At 43.6% G+C, this 20471-nt stretch overlaps 1 protein-coding gene across 10 annotated transcripts in view, besides 6 other annotated features; it reads left to right on the forward strand.

Moving 5' to 3' along the window:
• Positions 3709–4256: an enhancer, noted in NCBI's record as "H3K27ac hESC enhancer chr11:33060521-33061068 (GRCh37/hg19 assembly coordinates)". NCBI's record gives its function as "activates a minimal SCP1, AML or CMV promoter by ChIP-STARR-seq in naive H9 embryonic stem cells {active_cell/tissue: H9 hESC(naive)}" and the evidence as "EXISTENCE:reporter gene assay evidence [ECO:0000049][PMID:30033119]".
• Positions 3709–4326: a biological region, named in NCBI's record as "H3K27ac hESC enhancer GRCh37_chr11:33060521-33061068".
• Positions 3977–4326: an enhancer, noted in NCBI's record as "active region_4571". NCBI's record gives its function as "activates an Ori minimal core promoter by ATAC-STARR-seq in GM12878 lymphoblastoid cells {active_cell/tissue: GM12878}" and the evidence as "EXISTENCE:reporter gene assay evidence [ECO:0000049][PMID:35858748]".
• The window catches only part of TCP11L1 (t-complex 11 like 1), a 33992-nt gene continuing 17826 nt past the window's right edge, over positions 4306–20471 (forward strand). For 3 of the 10 annotated variants that reach the window (XM_017017989.3, NM_018393.4, XM_047427237.1), the window contains exons 1-3: positions 4306–4526; positions 8484–8670; positions 19327–19459. In XM_017017989.3, the coding sequence (XP_016873478.1) occupies positions 8508–8670; positions 19327–19459 (296 nt within the window). In that variant the 5' untranslated portion in view covers positions 4306–4526; positions 8484–8507. Of the gene's footprint in view, positions 5122–8483; positions 8671–19326; positions 19460–20471 lie in introns of those variants that run through there. The other 7 variants (XM_011520205.3, XM_017017990.2, XM_011520204.3 and 4 more) reach the window with 5 other exon arrangements.
• Positions 4307–4706: a silencer, noted in NCBI's record as "silent region_3231". NCBI's record gives its function as "represses an Ori minimal core promoter by ATAC-STARR-seq in GM12878 lymphoblastoid cells {active_cell/tissue: GM12878}" and the evidence as "EXISTENCE:reporter gene assay evidence [ECO:0000049][PMID:35858748]".
• Positions 4807–5126: an enhancer, noted in NCBI's record as "active region_4572". NCBI's record gives its function as "activates an Ori minimal core promoter by ATAC-STARR-seq in GM12878 lymphoblastoid cells {active_cell/tissue: GM12878}" and the evidence as "EXISTENCE:reporter gene assay evidence [ECO:0000049][PMID:35858748]".
• Positions 14595–15095: an enhancer, noted in NCBI's record as "OCT4-NANOG-H3K27ac hESC enhancer chr11:33071407-33071907 (GRCh37/hg19 assembly coordinates)". NCBI's record gives its function as "activates a minimal SCP1, AML or CMV promoter by ChIP-STARR-seq in naive H9 embryonic stem cells {active_cell/tissue: H9 hESC(naive)}" and the evidence as "EXISTENCE:reporter gene assay evidence [ECO:0000049][PMID:30033119]".

The following is a 20471-nucleotide window of genomic DNA, read 5'->3' on the forward strand; positions in this document are numbered from 1 at the left end:
CCTCTCCTTCCTCTCCTTCCACCTCCTCCACCTCTGTGACCCCTGAGACAGCAAGACCAGCCTTCCTCCTCCTCTACCTATTCAATGTGAAGATGACAAGGATGAAGACCTTTAGGATGATCCACTTTCACTTTGAATAGTATATATTCTCTTCCTTGTGACTTTCTTAATAACATTTTCTTTTCTCTAGCTTACTTTAAGGTAGGAATACAGTATTTAGAGCAGACACGGTGGCTCATAACGGTAATCCCAGTACTTTGGGAAGCCGAGATGATTGCTTGAGACCAGCCTGGGCAATGTAGAGAGACCCTGTCTCTAACACCCCACCCCAAAAAAAGAAATTAGCTAGGCATGGTAGCATGCACCTGTGGTACAGCTCCTTGGGAGGTTGAGGTGGGAGGATCCATTTGAGCCTGGGAAGTTGAAACAGCATTGAACCATGATTATGCCACTGCACTTCAGCCTGGGTGAAAGAGCGAGATCATGTCTCAAACAAAAAACAAAAAACAAAAAACACTCTATATATAATGTAACATACGAAATGTGTGTTAATTGACTGTTATTGGTAAGACTTCTGGCCAACAGTAGTCTAATAAGTTTTAGAGGAGTCAAAACTTATATGTAGAATTTTGATTGTGCAGGGGGATTGATGCCCATAACCCCCACATTGTTCAAGGGTCAACTGTATTTGATAAATAGACAAGCAATATAATACAGTTTGAAGTTGTTCATCCTAATAGTAATAGAGCCAAAAGATTAAATACTGAATTTTGTCTTTTAACTGACTTTAATGAGAGGTAGGGAAAACTGAAATGATGCACCAATATGTTAGTATGTCAGTAATGTTTTTTTTTCCCCCTTAGGTATAACTGATAGTGCCTAGTCTAAGTAGATAAAGGTTGAGGACTAATATCTATAAAATACCTATGATACCAGTTCTAATAACTCAGGGAATAACTCCGTTTTTTTGGATAGGTAAGAATGGAAGGGCTGGGCGTGGTGGCTCACGCCTGTAATCCCAGCACTTTCAGAGGCCGAGGCAGGTGGATCATCTGAGGTCAGGAATTTGAGACCAGCCTGACCAACATGGTGAAAACCCGTCTCTGCCAAAAATACAAAAATTAGCTGGGCGTGGTAGCGGGTGCCTGTAATCCCAGCTACTCGGGAGGCTGAGGCAGGAGAATCTCTTGAACCTAGGAGGCGGAGGTTGCAGTGAGCCGAGATCGTGCCATTGCACTCCAGCCTGGGCGACAAAACAAGACTCCCTCTTAAAAAAAAAAAAAAAAAAAAAAAAAAAAAAAAAAAAAAAAGGGGAAGGCAGCTCTCTTTACAGTGAGGGGAAAAAGAAGATAAGTTTATGATTTAAATGTGAGAGGAAGTTTTCAGAAACAAGCTACTGGAACTGTGGTGAGATCAGCACGGTGGGCAGAGCAACCGTGTGCTATCTGATTTGTAACCTTTATTTTGCACATAATTGAATAGCATATTTATTTGACAACCTTCAGGGGAAGGCAGAACTGCTTAGTTACATTCATGCTTCTAGGAGAAGCAACATTCTAATAGAATGATAATTTCAGGGAAAATATACTAGTAAAATCAATTTACCTTAGGCCTTATAAGGAGGATAAAAAGAAAAATCGATCATGTTTACTGCAACCATTGTCAAGGTTTTAAACTACAGGTCCAGTGCTACCTTGAAAGCCTTGGGCAACCCTCCTCAGTCACTAGAACTGTTGATTATCTTTTGCTGTGTGCTCTCATTCATTCACCCATGACGCCTTCTTGGGGACCCATTCCCACATAGACACCTAATGCCTAGTTGACCGTAAGTCTTGCCATCATCCTAGCAGAGTAGACCAAGGTTGAGCACCTGATCCAAGGGCAGCTTCCCTGGAGGCTAATGAGACTAACTTTGTTCAAAAATCAGTTTGGCCAATCAAATTCTATATAGGTAAATTTAAATTATGAGGCGCGTCAATTAAGAAAGTACAGAAACCAGCCTGTAGCATAAAGAGTGGAATGGACTACAGCAAGCAGAGATGTGACAAGAGGGATCCTGTGTGTACAGGAGCAGTAGCCGACCTCTAGAGTGGCTGCCACCTTTCTCCCTCCAAGTCCTATGTCCTTGCAGTGAACTCCCTTTACCTTAACGTAATTTGAATTTCCAGTCCTTGCAGCCAAAGATCAAAATGGAATGTGTCTATATGTATTTTTTGAATATTGAAACAGTACAAAACATTAAAAGATTACAAGTGAAATATCCCAAATTAAATCAGTGATTTTGGTATTGTTGCAGTATCCTCTCCAGGTGGAACTTGAGTATATTCATTCACTTGCTCCTAACCAAGTGAAAATTGGTTATATTAACCTTTTTTTTTTTTTTTGAGATGTAGTCTCGCTGTCTCCCAGGCTGGAGTGCAGGGGTGCGATCTCCGCTCACTGCCACCTCTGCCTCCTGGGTTCAAGGGATTCTCCTGCCTCAGCCTCTCCAGTAGCTGGGATTACAAGCGCCTGCCACCATGCCCAGCTAATTTTTGTATTTTTAGTAGAGACGGGGTTTTGCCATGTTGGCCAGGCTGGTCTTGAACCCCTGACCTCAGGTGATCCGCCCGCCTCGACCTCCCAAAGAGCTAGGATTACAGGCGTGAGCCATTGCACCCAGCCATATTAATCTTTTAAGGAAGGTTCTAGCCTGCTTCCCCAGGGAGCTTTTAAAACTTGTCTGGCATCACCCTCCCCGGAGTTTTGGATGATACTTTTCCAACCCCTGCCCCTGAGATTCCAAGTTGTATTTGTAGTCAGGGCTGAAAAACACTAGAGACTTAATGGTACGAGTTTAGACTCAGAAGAACTGCATGTTTTCTTTGCAGATCTTTTTTTTTTTTTTCAGACGGAATCTCACTCTGTCACCCAGGCTGCAGTGCAGTGGTGCGATCCCGGCTCACTGCAACCTCTGCTTCCCGGATTCAAGCAATTCTCCTGCCTCAGCCTCCCAAGTAGCTGGGATTACAGGCATATGCCACCATGCCCGGCTAATTTTTTTGTATTTTTAGTAGAAACGAGGTTTCACCATATTGGCCAGGCTGGTCTCGAACTCCTGACCTTGTGATCCACCCACCTCCGACCTCCCAAAGAGCTAGGATTACAGGTGTGAGCCACCGCGCCCAGCCATTCTTTGTAGATCTTAACAGTTCCATTTAGTTGAGTATCTTAAGGGTTTTTGGTGTTTTTTCCTCCAAAAAGTGAATCTTCACCAGAGAACTTCTGTTTTTGTCTTTTTTTTTTTTTTTTTAAAGCAAAGACTTTAATGTGCAAGTTAGTAAATGGTTTGAGGGTCTGGTATTGCACTCGGCCTTCAATACGTTAGCAATAACTACCCACATGTGATCTATTTAGAAGCAGTGTTTGAAAGCACCAATGTCACCCCATCTGCTTTTTTGTAGTTTTTTTTTGTTTGTTTGTTTTTGAGACAGAGTCTCGGTCTGTCTCCAGGCCGCAGTGCAGTGGCGCGATCTCGCCTCACTGCAACCTCCGCCTCCCAGATTCAAGCGATTCTCCTGCCTCAGCCTCCCGAGTAGCTGGGACTACAGGCGCGCGCCACCACACCCAGCTAATTTTCGTATTTTTAGTAAAGACGAGGTTTCACCATGTTGGCCAGGATGGTCTCGATCTCTTGACCTCGTGATCCGCCCGCCTCGGCCTCTCAAAGTGCTGGGATTACAGGCGTGAGCTGCTGCGCCCGGACTAACTTTTTTTTAAAGCTGAGGAAATGAGAGAAGGGGAATAAACTTTGTGTAGCTACAAACAGGATGGCAAAATTAAATTTCAAAGAACGGGCGGGGAAGGTTTCAGATGCAATGGCTTCTTATTCCTTCTTTTGACTGACCCGCGCCTTCTCCGCCTCCCTTTCTCCTCGCGTCACCCGCACCAGCGGCTGGGATGCGGCGCGCGTTCCGTCTTTCCGTATGGAAACATGGCGCCTAGGGGCGGGCCATCCCCAGCTTCGAGCCACCGCCAGCTGAGACTCATCGGCGGGCACTCGGCCATGCCTCTCGCGTTTCCGTACGAAAACATGGCGCCTCACTGCGTGCGGCGGGCGACTCTTGGCTGGGAGCCACTGGCCACGGAGCCCCCTGAGCGGTCATCGGCCATGTTTTCCACCTCTCCCTGAGGAAACACGGCGCCGCCCAGCTGCGAGTCACCGCTTACTGAACCCCTTCGGCAAGCAGGGGAAAGACCCTCCCGCCTTTCCGTACGAAGACATGGCGCTGCCCTATATTGGGCTGGCGCCTCCCGGCCAAGAGCAGTCTCCTCCTTCCTGATGCTGAGAAGCGGCCGCTCTGACCGCTGCCCACCCGAGTCGGGCTGGGAGGACCGCCCGCCGCGTGGCGAGGGATGCGGCCTCGGAGGGGCAGAGGCTGAACCGCCCCTGCCTGCCGCGCATCCCTCCGGCTTCCGCCGCGGCGCCAGCCCGCGCCTGATTCGCGGCGGGAGCGGCAGGAGGGAGAACGCCGACTCCGTGGCAGGTGAGAGCGGGAGCTGGGGCGGAGGCTGGCGGGGCCCGTCCGGGAGGCGCGCGGTCCAAGTCGCAGGCATCTCTTCGCCTCTTCCCGTCGGATCCCATCCCGGGATGTCGGGGGCAGGCGAGGAAGAGGCGGGGTCCGCGGGCGGGTGGAGCTCACCCCTCGAGGCTGTCCTCTCGGCGCGCCCGCGTCCTCCCCTACTCCCGGCCCTGCCACTCCCTCGCTGGCCTGAACAGCTGTTTACAACGGAATCCGGACGCCGGGCGCGAGTGGAGCTCAGTGCCAGAGGAGGGGATTCCCGGCGCCGGGGGACAGAGCCCCTTTTTTCTTTTGCCGAAAGACCCTTTCTGCTGGGGAGCCTCTTGTGTCCAGCCTAGGCCCGCGTGCAGCGCCGACGGATGACCGTCTTCTTGGCAAGTGCGAGGATCCTCCTCCCCTCGGCTCTCTTTTTAGACACAGTGGGGGTTGAATGGATGCGCGCGATATAAGCAAATTAAATGGTTCGTGGCCGCATCCTAGAGCCCTTTAATTAGAGTTACCATTTGTAGAAGGCCTGCCGTGCACAATCCCTCGTTTCATCTCCCCCCAAACCGAGCAGGTAGGTAGCTGTGTTTTACAGAGGAGGACACTGAAGTTACACAGCTAGTAAAGAGCCAGAATTGGGGCCCAGGTATGTCTGAAACCAACGCCCAGCCTCCCAGATACAGTGACATCACAGAGATGACGTAGGGATTCATCTCTATCAACAGATACTTGTGGGTGTCTATTTGGGGGATATACAGATGGAGCATAAGTGGGGAATATGACTGGTCCTGGCTCTTAAGAAGTTCGAAATCTAGGTGGGGAATTTTAAAATAAAAACTAGCACTTTTACCATCTGGCCCCAACGCATCTTTCCATCATCTCTAGCCACTTCCTTTTCTCATTTTCTTGTGCCTTGGCTTCTGCCCTCTGAGTGAAATGCCCTCCTTTTCACCTCCTCTCCCCCTCCTCTCCCCCTCCAGACATGTTTTAACTAGGTGAAATCCTACTCCTTTTAAAGATCAGTTCAAATGTCATCTTTTCTGGGAAGGTTTTCTCAATCTCCTCCCAGGCAGAGTTAGTTTCTTCCTCTGCTATATTCCCTGGGCAATTTCATAATGCCACTTAAGTTTCATTATGGCTCCTTGTAAGCCTGTCTGCCTCCCCCTCTAGACTATGTATTTGCATCTTTCTATTTAAATAAGCACGCTTTGAATTGAATTTAAGGCAGTGACAAATGCCAAATGTCAACTAGCCAGCCCTGCAGGAGTTGAGAAAGGTGCAATCACTGGTGAGGTCCGGGAAGTGTCCTGGGAAGAGACAGGACTTGAACTCAATCTTAAGGATGGGGTTAGTTTACTAAGCTGAGCATTAGAGACCTAGAAATCCTCCCTTTCCTCCTCACTGCACAGAATGAATTACTTCATCCCTCCTGGGCTCCTTCTCAGCATGTGAAGATAATAAAATTAGCAGCGTTTTGTTTGTCGTTTCTCACAGAATATGCTGGTAATGTTATCCTTTGGATCTTGGAGCATTTCCTGACCCTAATAGGATTTAGGACACAGAGGAGATGGGTGTCTCCAGTGGGGTGTTGGAAGCTAAGATGGGTCTCGAAAGGGAAAATACATGAAAACAACTTTCATATTAATACAGGCCTGGGCCAGGTGCAGTGGCTCACGCCTATAATCCCAGCACTTTGGGAGGCTGAGGCGGGCGGATCACTAGAGGTCAGGAGTTCGAGACAAGCCTGGCCAACATAGTGAAACCCCATCTCTACTAAAAATACGAAAATTAGCGAGGCGTGGTGGTGGGCGCCTATAATCCCAGCTACTGGGGAGGCTGAGGCAGAAGAATCCCTTGAACCTGGGAGGCAGAGGTTGCAGTGAGCTGAGCCGAGATGGTGCCACTGCACTTCAATCTGGGGAACAGTGCAAGAGTCTGTCCCCAAAAAAAAAACAAAAAAACAGGCCTGAATATTTCAATCCCAGTAACTTCATTCTATTTAATGGAGTTCTCTGAAATTTCACATAATTCTATCAGGTGATTCTTCACCTCTCTCTAATATGCAGAACACAGTCTGCCAAACTCCCTAAATCAGTTGACATTTCTTTTGATCACCTGATTACCTTCCATGTGTGTAAGAAAGTCTAATTAGTGTTTATGAAAATGTTTTGTGATCTTCAAGTGCTGATGTTACAAATGTTAATTATTTTCAGCAAATGCAGAAACATTGTGTCTTCTCTCCCAGAAACACCCTAGGAAAAGGGAGAGTGGAGGAATTGACTAAAACTTTTACTGTAATTAAAACAGGGTTTTTTTGTTTGTTTGTTTGTTTGTTTAGACAGAGTCTCAGTCTGTTGCCCAGGCTGGAGTGCAGTGGTGCGATCTCGGCTCACTGCAAGCTCTGCCTCCCGGGTTCATGCCATTCTCCTGCTTCAGCCTCCTGAGTATTTGGGACTACAGGCACCGCCACCATGCCAGGCCAATTTTTTAATATTTTTAGTGGAGACGGGGTTTCAGCGTGTTAGCCAGGATGGTCTCGATCTCTTGACCTCATGATCCGCCTGTTTTAGGCCTGTTTTAGGCTGGGCACGGTGGCTCATGCCTGTAATCCCAGCACTTTGGGAGGCCCAGGCAGACCTTTTATTAACTGCTCCAAAGCACAGTGTCAAGTGTTATTGCTATTCTGATCAGCAACTAATAAAAAGCCCACCCAACTGCATACATTATGGTTGTTTGCAGCTTCTTACTCACAATCTTTTTCCTAATTACTGGCAAGAAGGTAATAAAAATATTTGCCCCACACATTCCTCTTAAACATTTCATAAGATTCTGTTTTCTGTAGGGCGCAGTGGCTCATGGCTGTAATCCCAGTACTTTGGGAGACCGAGGCAGGTGGATCACCTGAGGTCAGGAGTTCGAGACCAGCCTGACCAACATGGTGAAACCCCGTCTCTACTAAAAATACAAAATTAGGCCAGGCGCAGTGGCTCACGCCTGTAATCCCAGCACTTTGGGAGGCCAGGGCAGGTGGATCATGAGGTCAGGAGTTCGAAACCAGCCTGGCCAACATGGTGAAGCCCCATCTCTCCTAAAAATACAAAAATCAGCCAGGCATGGTGGTGGGCGCCTATAATCCCAGCTACTCAGAAGGCTGAGGCAGGAGAATCACTTGAAACCGGAAGGTGGAAGTTGCAGTAAACTGAGATCGCACCACTGCATTCCAGCCTGGATGAAAGAGCGAAACTCTGTCTCAAAACAAAACAAAACAAAAATTAGCTGGGCGTGGTGGCACCCACCTGTAATTTCAGCTACTTGGGAGGCTGAGGCAGGAGAATTGCTGAAACCTAGCAGGCGGAGGATGCAGTTAGCTGAGATTGCCCCATTGCACTCCAGCCTGGGCAACAAGAGCAAAACTCCATCTGGAAAAAAAAAAAATTCTAGTTTCTGTCATCTCTGGGTATCTTATTCACATGATAATATCAAGGAATCAACCCTTTAGCCCAGTGTATTCACTTGTAAGCCCAATTAAAAGCATTATTTCCAAGGAGTTTACCTATCTGCTCTTAGGAATGAAAGTAAAGAATTTAAGATTGAATCACTGATTAAAATTGTAGCAGCAGGTAGTTTAGAGTGTGTCTTCTAATAGTTTAAGGCCCTGTATTCTTGAAACATGCTACTTAGGAGTAGGACAAAAATATTCCAACTAACTACTACGTGAGATCCAGAAATCTGATAAATTACAAATGTCATTTTACAAGTATCTGTTTAGTCATTGAAGTAGAATATAGCTGGATAAGATCTTAGCAAGCTCATTTATTCTACAAACGAGAAAACTGAAACCCAAAGAGGTTAAATGATTTGCCCTGAGTCACATTGCTAGTTGGTGACAGAGCTAGAATACTTTTAGTTCTTTTTTTTTGTTTTTTTCTTTCCTAGGAAAGTGAATAAACTTAATTGAGAATGTCTGAAAACCTTGACAAGTCCAATGTAAATGAAGCAGGAAAATCAAAATCCAATGATTCTGAGGAAGGCCTCGAAGATGCTGTGGAAGGTGCTGATGAAGCCTTACAAAAAGCAATAAAGTCAGACTCCTCCAGCCCCCAAAGAGTGCAGAGACCTCACTGTAAGCAAATTTGACTTTGGTTAGATGCAATATTGTCATTGTTTTCAGGTGACGGTTTTATGAGGCCTCCTTGTGCATGTGGCCGTGAGCTAGGTTCTAATAATATAACATTGCCAATGTAGCATTTAGGAATAATAGCAGTTCCTCAGCTGGCAGCCTAGCTACTTGTGGATTTTCAATTGCATGGGAAATTAACAATTTAGAATAATGTCCAGAACGTTCCTGTCTTTCTCCAGCCTCAGTGACACTCCAGTCTCTGAAGTGCTCTGAGAAATAGGAGGGTGGAGTATAAATTGCAGCTTGTATTGAAAGAGTGTTTGAAAAGTCTGAGGCTAATTCCAGCCAGGACTGTGCTTGTGCAGGTTAAAAAAAAATGTGAGTAAGTTCACCACACCCTAATTCTCTGCCTGGGGGCTTAGTTCCCACAAGCTTGAGGGGATTCAGTTTGCTAAATGTGTGTGGTGAAGTCATTTCAGATCCCTGGCAAGGAGCAAGCCTCTTAAATGAAAGGGTGGCAATATCTTCAGGCATTCCCAGTGGTTGCCTCAACTCACGTCTTTTATGAAGAGTACCTTAAGCATTTTGAAGTGAGTCCAAAAATGCAAGTTTTTAAGAGGGAATGTCATAGTCTAAGAATGTCGGTATTGATGTTATCCCTTTAAATTGTAGATGATCAGTAGTTGTACGTATTTGGAAAAAGTACAGACATTTTTGGGTTTTGGGGTGTGTTTCTTCTAAAATGATCAAAGCCCTTCCCGGGCAATTTATTAGTCAACATACTATTCTTCTAGCAAACATTAATGGACCCTATTTTATTCTGATTTATTATCACATAGATTTTAATAAATCAACTATTAGGTCAAATTGTGTCCAAGGAAACATGTTGTTGCTAGCACAGTCTATCATGCATTTGTCAGGCCTGACTCCAATATGTGTAGTTAGAAAGCTTCTGTTTTCCTGTCTTTAAAATGAGGAAAATACAATATTTCTTGGGGTAGCAGTAAAGATTAAATGAATTCCTATAAGGCACTTAGAACAGTGCTTCACAGGTAATAAATGCTTAATAAACATTAGTTGTTGTTACTACTATTGCTACTAACATTATGTCATCTATTGCATTTAAAGATGCCAGGATTGGCCAGGCATGGTGGCTCATACCTGTAATACCAGCACTTTGGGCGGCTGAGGCAGGAAGATCACTTGAGTCCAGGAGTTCAAGACCAGCCTAGGCAACATAATGAGACCCCATCTCTACAAAAAATAAAAATTAGCCAGGCATGGTGGTGCATGCCTATAGTCCCAGCTACTTGTGGGGCTAAGGCAGGAGGATCACTTGAGCCTGGGAGGTGGAGGCTGCAGTGAGCCGAGATCACGCCACTGCACTCCCGTCTGGGTGACAAAGTAAGACCCTGTCTCAAAAAAAAAAAAAAAAAATTAGCTGAGCATGCACGTGGTTGTAGTCCCAGCTACTTGGGAGGCGGGGACAGGAGGATCACTTGAGCTGGGGAAGTCAAGGCTGCAGTGAGCCGTGATTGTGTCACCGCACTCCAGCCTGGATGACAGAGTGAGACAAGCCTCTCTCAAAAAAATAAAAATAAAAAAAATAAAGAGGCCAGGATTGATTGCTGTAATGTAGATGTATATGGCTAACATGATAGCTTTACAACCTATAGTTTCTGCTAAAGAAGAACTTTTGGTTTAGGTCTTCAGTCACCCTTTATTGGTTGGTTGGTTGTTGGGATGGCCAGACCCAACGTGGAGGTGACGAAGTCCAGTGGAGTCAAAAGAATGAAAAAGACAAGTTTAAGAGTGCATAAAGTGGGTCCGGGGGCCAATGCTAGTATGGAGGCTGCGAAGGCCCCGAGCTCTGGAAGCCTGCACTATTCATTGGTGATGAAACAAAGAAGCAGGTGGTGAGGATGTGGGGGTTGAAAGAAAGCAGTGTATCAAGCACATGATCTACAGCTGTGACGGTTTAGCATTTTCTTTGCAGCATATGGAACATGTTCTGCTACTTGAGATAATGGGAAACATGTTCTAGTTTAAGATACAATAGATCTATGAGCCTAGGAGTGCTAGAAGCAAGGAGCCAGCAAGTCTAGACACATTCCAGAGGCCACGCCCTGAGCCCTGGATTCCATTCAAGCCACGAAGGGTTTTATGCCCTGGGCTTAGATTATGGTGCTGCAGGGCAGCCTTCTGCCCTTTAGCACAGAGCTTGGTGTTCCCAAGGCCATGAGGGGTTTTAGACCCTGGACCCTGGACATGTTCCAAGACTCTTTTACATTAAGTGAGACATGCAAGCCCTGCTTTAGCTTCTCCCAACAGTTGGTTGATTGGTTTTAATTTTTTTAAACAATTTTAACTTTTATAGGTTCAGCCATTCTTTGGTTGATGGCTTCGCCTTTGGCATCTTGTCAGCCTGATGGCATGATTCCAAATTAATGTCAAACCAGTACTAAGCTACATTATCTGAAATTGTGTGTAGTTATGCCCTTAAGGCAAGAATACTTATCCTGGGACCTATGATCAAGATTTAGGGGATCTAGTAATAACCAAAAAAGTATATCAACATTTGTTTGTATATGCATGTTTTTAGGAATAAGGTCGTGGAAGCTTTCATTAAGTTCTCTTAGTAGTCTGTACCAAAATAAGGTTTAAAATCAATGCCCTAAGGTATTCCTTTTGGCTGCCTTCCTATTTCTCCTGTAGTGCTAGGTAGGTACAGGGCTATAAACCCAAAAGATAAAGCTAAGACCTCATTATCTGGGCATCAGGTAAGGAAGCATTATTGAACACATAGAGCATAAATAAGGATTTACAAAATATGGAATTAACAGTTTACAGACATTTCCCCCAAACTCTGTAAATTTGTAGCTACTGAGTTTAAAGTAACTCTAAAATCATATTTGGAATTCTACAAATTAAAACGTAAGTAGCAAAAAGAGAACATTTATTGTTTTAAATTATAACACAGAGTAATACTTTAAGAGTGGAGTTGCTAGGCCAGGCGCATTGGCTCATGCCTATAAGCACTTTGGGAGGCTGAGGCAGGTGAATCACCTGAGGTGAGGTCAGGAGTTCGAGACCAACCTGGCCAACATGGTGAAACACTGTTTCTACTAAAAATACAAAAATTAGCCGGGAGTGGTGGTGTGTGCCTGTAATTGGGAGGCTGAGGCAAGAGAATCACTTGAACCTGGGAAGCAGAGGTTGCAGTGAACCGAGATTGTGCCATTGCACTCCAGCCTAGGGGACAAGAGCGAAACTTCATCTCAAGAAAAAAAAAAAAAGAGTAGAATTCTGATGTAACCGATGCAGAATATTGAAAAAGGAAAAATGGCTGGCTTGTAAAAAATTTATTGGTACTGATTTGAGGTGGTGATTTGATTGTAAAAGATTATCTGTTCTTTAAACAGAGTAAGGATCAGTCAACTGTAACTTAACAATGTTTTCTCTAAAATCTTCTACTACTTATACTTTAATGCTCTTCTCACAAAATACCCTCTGTTCTAACGTTTAATCACCTAGTTGACCAGTAAAAGATGCTATATTCAGATGACAAACATCAATTGTTATTCCAGTTAATATCTCCCACTTAGGACCTTTGTTTATTGGATCAGGTCCTTGTGAATTTAATTAGTAGATCCCAGTCATCTTTAGATGAATAGATGACACGAGAACTTACATTTCTAAAGCTCATGACTAGACTTTGAATTATGGTGTCTCTGTATTCAGTCAGTCAAATATTTATTGAGTGCATACTGTATGTCAGGGATCCAGCAGTGAACCAGGCACATATTGTCTCTGTCCTCATGGAGCTTGCAGGCTAGCGACCAGGAAGACAAATTAACAAGCAGTTTCCAACAACATAATAAGTACTATGGGTAATCTGTACCCTGGTTTTACTGTGCTCATTCTATAGTAGCTGTTTGGGTGACAGTTGCAATCTTGCCCTCCATAAATGTCCGTCCACTTATGTAACTAACAGCATCTTTTCAGAGTGTATAGGCATCTCAGGACACCTTAGTAAAGATAGAGAGTACAACCATTCTAAATTAGAACTTCATTTTATTTTGGAATCTGTCTGCCAGCCTCTCTAAAGTCATGTTTAACCTAATATGGTTTTCAGTTTCTCTAACAGGGCATCAGTGCGCAAATGCTGTAACAAAATAACAAAATTTAGCAACAACTTTAGCTTTGTATCACGTAAGATAAACTCCAGGGTAAGTTACATGTATCTTTACATTTTTTTTTTTTAAGACCGGATCACTCTATGTTGCCCAGGCTGGCCTTGAACTCCTGGGCTCAAGTGATTCACCCACCTCAACCTCCCTAGTAGCTGAGACTACAAGTGTGCACCACCATGTCTGAGTTGACCTTACCATTTTTCATGGCTCTTATTACAACCCAGGTTCTCTTAACAAATTGAGGTGAAGACGTGTTGTCCACCAAATTGCATCTTTATGCAATTTTATGCAATCCTTACCAAGTTTTCATTTATGAAATTGGTAAATTTGAGAACTCTCACAAAACAAAATCCCCACAACCCTATAATTTGTATGCAGTGAATAATTCCTCTGTATGTACATCGGTAACATGTCCTGATCATATCTTAGAACTGTAGCTTTTATCTATCATGATCAGATACCTGTCATTGATAAGTTTGATTTTAAGTAGTCTCTTAACTTGGACAGTTCCTGAAAATTTTCTTCTTCCTAATGGTGAGGTTCTTAGTACTTGGTGCAAGCTGTTTTTTTCCAAGTATGCCCAAAACACTGAGAATGCACTTGTTTAAAATTCGGAGGATTCTTATATTTCATAGCACACCCTTAAGTCTCTTCTTTTTGCATATGGAGAAACACTGACCCTGCAAGATTTAAGTGACTTGTTCAAGGCCGTACTCAACAGAGTCCAGAGGAAGTGAAATTCCTTCCTGATTTGCTCCAGCCACTGTGTTTCATGACTAGGCAGCATAGTAACGGTGCCTATTATTACCCAGATGACTAAAATTATTGGGAAATAACAAATCCGGCCAGGCGCGGTGGCTCATGCCTATAATCCCAGCACTTTGGGAGGCCAAGGCAGGTGGATCATGAGGTCAAGAGATCAAGACCATCCTGGCCAACATGGTGAAACCCTGTCTCTACTAAAAATACATAAATTAGCTGGGTGTGGTGGCACACGCCTGTAGTCCCAGCTACTTGGGAGGCTGAGGCAGGAGAATCACTTGAACCCGGGAGGCGGAGGTTGCAGTGAGCCGAGATCGCGCCACTGCACTCCAGCCTCGTGACAGAGCAAGACTCCGTCTCAAAAAAAAAAAAAAAAAAATTCACCCAGAGGACTTGATGTGATGTATTTCTGTTGTTTTCATAAATTTCAGATGGTAAGACATTGATTATTTTTGAAGGGGTGGCCTGCCCCTCCACAACCTGTGGGTGTTTCTCGTCATGTGGGACGAGAGACTGAGAAAAGAAATAAGACACAGAGACAAAGTATAGAGAAAGAAAAGTGGGCCCAGGGGACCTGCACCCTGTCTCTGAGTTCCCTCAGTATTTATTGATCATTATCTCTACCATCTTGGAGAGGGGGTTGTGGCAGGACAATAGTGTAATAGTGGGGAGAGGGTCAGCAGGAAACCTGTGAACAAAGGTCTCTGTGTCATAAATAAGTTTAAGGAAAGGTACTGTGCCTTGATGTGCACGGATACAAACTTCTGGGTGCATTAAAGAGCAGTATTGCCGCTAGCACCTCACCTCCAGCCCTAAGGCAGTTTTCTCCTATCTTAGTAAATAGAACATACAATTGGGTTTTACACCAAGACATTCTATTGCCCAGGGATGAGCAGGAGACAGATGCCTTCCTCTTATCTCAACTGCAAAGAGGCCTTCCTCTTTTACTAATCCTCCTCAGCACAGACCCTTTACAGGTGTTGGGCTGGGGGATGATCAGGTCTTTCCCTTCCCAGGAGGCCATATCTCAGGCTATTGCATGGGGAGAAACCTTGGACAATACCTGGCTTTCCTAGGCAGAGGCCCCTGCTGGAGGGCCTTCCGCAGTGTATTGTGTCCCTGGGTACTTGAGGTTAGAGAATGGTGATGACTTTTAACAAGCATACTGCCTTCAAGCACTTTTTTAACAAAGCACATCCTGCATAGCCCTAAATCCATTAAACCTTGAGTCAACACAGCACAGGTCTCTGCTGTGAGCACAGGGTTGGGACAAGGGTTACAGATTAACAACATCTCAAGGCAGAAGAATTTTTCTTAGTACAGAACAAAATGGAGTCTCTTATGTCTACTTCTTTCTACATAGACACAGTAGCAGTCTGATCTCTCTTTTCCCCACAATTTTTTGCAAAAGCAAGGTTAAAAAACTTGGGAGCCCTAATAATCTCTGAGTTTCTTCTTAAGGGGTAAGACCTTGGTGGAGTTTAATAACACCTGATGCTTGATAATAACACCTGATGCTTGATAATAACACCTGATGCTTGATATTGATGTACCCACAGTGGAAGTTTCATTTTCTGATAACTGATAACAGAAATAATTTAAAAATAAGCATATATTTATACATATGTATATATACAGGAGATCCCTACTGAACTGGGTGTGCACCTATAGTCCCAGCTATTTGGGAGGTTGAGGCCACAGTGAACTGTGATCACCACTCTCCAGTTTGGGCAACAGAATAAGACCCTATTTCAAAAAACAAATAACAAAAAAACCTTTTTATTTTCTTAATAGAGTCTATCATGGAATGTACATTTTAAATTTTGATAAAATCCAAATTATCCATTTTTTATTTTGTAGTTTGAGTTTTTTGTATCCTATCTAAGAAATCTTTGCCTAATCCAAGATCGCAAAGATTTCTATCTGTGATTCTTTTTTTTTTTTAGACAAGGTCTCTATCTGTCACCTATGCTGGAGTGCTGTGGCGGGGTCATGGCTCACTGCAACTTCTGCCTCCTGGGCTTAAGCCATCTTCCCGTCTCAGCCTCCTGAGTAGCTGAGACTACAGGAGCATGCCACCACACCTGGCTAATTGTATTTTTTGTAGAGATGGGGTTTCGCCATGTTGCCCAGGCTGTTCTCAAATTCCTGGCCTCAAGCAATTTTTGCACCTTGGCCTCCCAAAGGGCTGGGATTACAGGCATGAGCCACCATGCCCCGCTCTGCAATCCATTTTGAGTTCATTTTTGTTTATCATTTGAGAGAAGGATCTAGAGTAATTATTATTAATTTTTTTTGAGACGGAGTCTCGCTCTGTCGCCCAGGCTGGAGTGCAGTGGTGCAATCTCAGCTCACTGCAAGCTTGGCCTCCCGGGTTCACGCCATTCTCTTGCCTCAGCCTCCCAAGTAGCTGGGACTACAGACACCTGCCATCACGCCCGGCTAATTTTTTGTATTTTTAGTAGAGATGGGGTTTCACCGTGTTAGCCAGGATGGTCTTGTTCTCCCGACCTTGTGGTCCGCTCGCCTCAGCCTCCCAAAGTGCTGGGATTACAGGCGTGATAGAGTAATTCTTTTACATATAGATACTTAATTGTTGTAGCACCATTTGATTAAAAACAAACAAACAAACAAAACTATCCTTGCTTTTCTTTTTTTGAGACAGAGTATTGCTCTGTCACCCAGACTGGAGGGCAGTGGCACAATCTCAGCTCACTGCAACCTCTGTCTCCTGGGCTTAAATGATTTTTAGTAGAGACAGGATTTCGCTGTGTTGTCCAGGCTGGTCTCGAACTCCTGGCCTCAAGCAGTCCACCTGCTTCAGCCTCCCAAAGTACATGAGCCACCGTGCCCGGCCTATCCTTGTCTGTTGACCACCTATATATATATGTGTGTGTATATTAGTCTATTTCTGGATTTTCTGCCCTGAATTTCTATATATCCTTATGGGAAAAATACACTGTCTTGTTATAGTTTTATAATAAGTCTTGAAATCAGTGTCAGTCCTCTAGCTTTATTTTTCTTTTTCAAAATAGTTTTGGCTTTTCGAGGTCTTTTGTGTTTCCCTATACATTTTAGAATTAGTTTGTCAGTTTCAACAAAAAAGCCTTCTGATTGGGATTTCATTTAACCAATAGATTGATTTGGGGAAAATTGACATCTTAATAATATACCCATAGAGGGGAATAAGAGACACTGGGGTCTACTGGAGAGTGGGAGGAGGGAGAGGATCAAGAAAAATAATGAGTACTAGACTTAATAACCGGGTGACAAAATAATCTCTACAACAAGCCCCCGTGACACGAGATTACCTGTATAACAAACCTGCACATGTACACCTGAACTTAAAAGTTAAAAAAAATTTTTTTAATTGAAAAGATATATTGGGCTTTGATTTTGGATATTTACTATATTTTAGCAATATCAACAAAGCCAGATTTATTTATTCTGTATTCTTATTCATATTCTTTGGAAATGCTGAGAATGTTGTGAGGAAGAATTCTGAGTTTTCCCAACTTCCCCTTGTGACCAAATAAAGTTTTTTACCAGGCAGGATATGACCAGCTCTTCGATTTGGTTCCTTTTTTTTTTTTCTTTTTTTTGGTGCGCAAAAGAAAAAGGAAAGAAAATAACTTTTCACCAATGTAAGAAGATCTTTTAAACCTGGGCAAACCAGTGACATTACTTATCTAATTTTAAGGCCAGATCTTATCACTATCACATAAAATTAATATATTCATCTTCTAGGCCAGTACTTCTCAAACTGTGGTGTTTGGAGCCATCAGCATCAACTGGAGACTTGTTAGAAATACAGATTCTGGGCCGGCTGCTGTGGCTCACACCTGTAATCCCAGCATTTTGGGAGGCTGAGGCAGGCGGATCACTTACTTAAGCTCAGGAGTTCGAGACCAGCCTGGGCAACATGGCGAAACTTGTCTTTAAAAAAATAGAAAAAATAACCAGACATGGTGGCATGTGCCTGTAGTCCTGGCTACTTGGGAGGCTAAGGTGGGAAGATGATTTGAGCCTGAGAGGTTGAGGCTGGGGTGAGCCATGATTGTGCAACTGTACTCCTGTTGGTGACAGAGTAAGACCCTATCTCAAAAAAAAATAGAAAAATAAAAAATGCAGATTCTTTGGCCCTGCTCCAGAGCTGCTAAATCAGAAACCCTGAGAGGTGGGCTCAGCAATCTGTTTTCACAAGTCCTCCCTCTGACTCCATGATAGGCTAAAGTTTGAGAATTGCTATCAGAGACTTTTTTTTTTTTTTTTTTTTGAGACAATCTTCCTCTGTCGCCCAGGCTGGAGTGCAATGGTGTGATCTTCGCTCACTGCAACCTCTACCTCCCAGGTTCAAGCAATCCTTTCGCCTCAGCCTCCCAAGGAGCTGGGATTACAGGCATGCACCACCACGCCCTGCTAATTTTTGTATTTTTAGTAGAGACAAGGTTTCACCATGTTGGCCACGTGGGTCTCCAACTCCTGACCTCAGGTGGTCCACCTGCCTTGATCTCCCAAAGTGCTGGGATTACAGGTGTGAGCCTTGCCTTATCATAGGCTTTTAAGAGTAAGAATTCCCCTTTGTTCCTTGGTTTAGAACCTTCTTTCTGAATGATCAGTCTCAAGCTTTATCAAAAGAGAAGTATGGACACAAATTTTGAGGCCGTTGCAGCAGTCGATACAGAAGTAAAATCTACAGGACTTGGATAACAGAGCAGGGGAAAGAGAGAAATCAGAGATGACTCTTTTTCAAAGTTTTTGATTCACTGGATCAGCATTCTAGAAAATTCTTGTGTCACACATCTTTTGATCTGTCCATTGACCACTGCAGAGCTATCATATTCTGTCACAGTATCCTGTACAAGATAGTGGTTTTAGCATTGTTTAAACAGCACCATCGGCACCCTAAAGGACTTGATGGTATTTTAATTTTTTACAACTTTTTATTTTTATTTTTTTGAGACAGAGTCTTGCTCTGTTACCCAGGCTTGAGTGCAGTGACATGATCATAGCTCACTGCAGGTTCAAGCGATCCTCCAGCCTCAACCTCCTGAGTAGCTGGGACTACAGGCATGCACCACCATGCCCGGTTAGTTTTTACATTTTTCTGTAGAGACAAGATCTCACTATGGTGCCCAGGCTGGTCTCCAACCCCTGGCCTCAAATGATCTCTCGCCTCGGCCTCCCAAAGTGCTAGCATTACAGGTGTGAACCACTGTGCCTAGCCTTGATGCTATTTTAATTTGGGGAGATTCATTTGTGGCAGTGTTAGTGGTAGTGCAAAAGTAAACTGCTAATGGGAGCAAAAGAGAAGATCTTAAATCTGGTGTCTTCTTTTTTTTTTTTTTCTTTTAGGGTAGACAGGAGGCAGAAAGACTAGAAAATAAACCCTCAGCTTATGGGACAGATGATCATCTGTAACTTAAGTTTTCCTAGGTTTCAGTTTACTGTAATTATTTTCCTTTGACCAGTCTTAGTAAAAACCAGATGTTTTGAGTATTAATAAATGATCTCTGCTTTTAGGATTCAAGGGTAAAAAATGAATATGAAGTAACATTCTGTTGCTGTTTGAAAATGCCAGAACAAACATTTTAATAGACGCAATAACTGAAATTATTGTCTGGTACCAGAACCACTGTTTTCTTATTTTAGTAGAAATTCAGATCCAGGGAAGCAAATCTCTTACAGTGAGTTTCTGTTACAGCTAGTCCTCCTCGCTTTGTGACAGTAGAAGAACTTCTAGAGACAGCGAGAGGTGTCACCAACATGGCTCTAGCCCATGAAATTGTAGTAAATGGAGACTTTCAGATTAAACCAGTTGAATTACCAGAAAACAGGTAAGGTGGTTGCTAAATTATCTTGCTTAGTAGAACACTGTCATTTCCCAGTTTTGAAAATGTTTCCTTCAGTTGATACCAATATATTCAAACGTATTTTTCCTTTTGTACATTATTGCTAAAAAATATTCCTGAACAAGGAACAACCTAAAAATCAAATAAAAGCTCTAAAAATCTTTTGTGAAAGTCTGCCTACTCAGTAGGATCTAGCTGCCTCATCTTGTGTTTTCATTGCCTTGTTTCATTCACTTCTTTGAAACTATCACACTGCACTATAGTTGTTGGTTTCATCGCAAAGGCGAAGACTGTGGGTTATTCTCTGTGTCCCTAGTGCCTGGCACTTAACCATTTTTTTATTGAATCAAAAACTCTATTGGTTGTAAGGTGCACCTTTTAAAAATGTGCTGTCATAAGAAAGAGGAAACACTGCCCATTATAATTATAAAAATGCCATTGATTTTAAGAAAGATCCAAGTTTCTGAGAGATTAAAATATTGGGGAGGGGGGAGTTTGTTTTAGAATCAAGGAAATATGCGTGCAAGTGCCTTTCTGTCAGCAGCTCACCAAAGTCAGGATTCTGGATGGTGCCTGAGAGTCTCTTAGCCTGTCCTCATGGTTGCAGGATGAATGCTGCAGCTCCAAGCATCCCATAATACATCAGCCTTCCTGGCAAGAGCAAAAAGTTTGGGAGGACTAGGGCTCTCCTTTTGTTGGAGAGGAACATCTTCCCCTGGAGTCATGAAACAGACATCTGCTAATATTTTGTTAATCAGAATTTAGTCACATGCTACCCTTGCTATAAGTGAACCTGGAGAGCTTAAGTTGGCTAAAAGGGAATGAACTGCTGTGATGGGCTTATTAGATTAGTCATGATTTATTGTCACAGGCAGAGTATATTGTTGCCCTGAAAAACACTGGGATTCTGTTAACAAAAGGAGGAGGAATGGCTGCTGTGCTGGCAAGTGTCTCCCACAAGAAGCTTCTAAATATGACTTCACAGAGATTTCTTATA

The sequence above is a fragment of the Homo sapiens genome, chromosome 11 (genome assembly GCF_000001405.40).
Source record: "Homo sapiens chromosome 11, GRCh38.p14 Primary Assembly".
Lineage (NCBI taxonomy): Eukaryota > Metazoa > Chordata > Mammalia > Primates > Hominidae > Homo > Homo sapiens.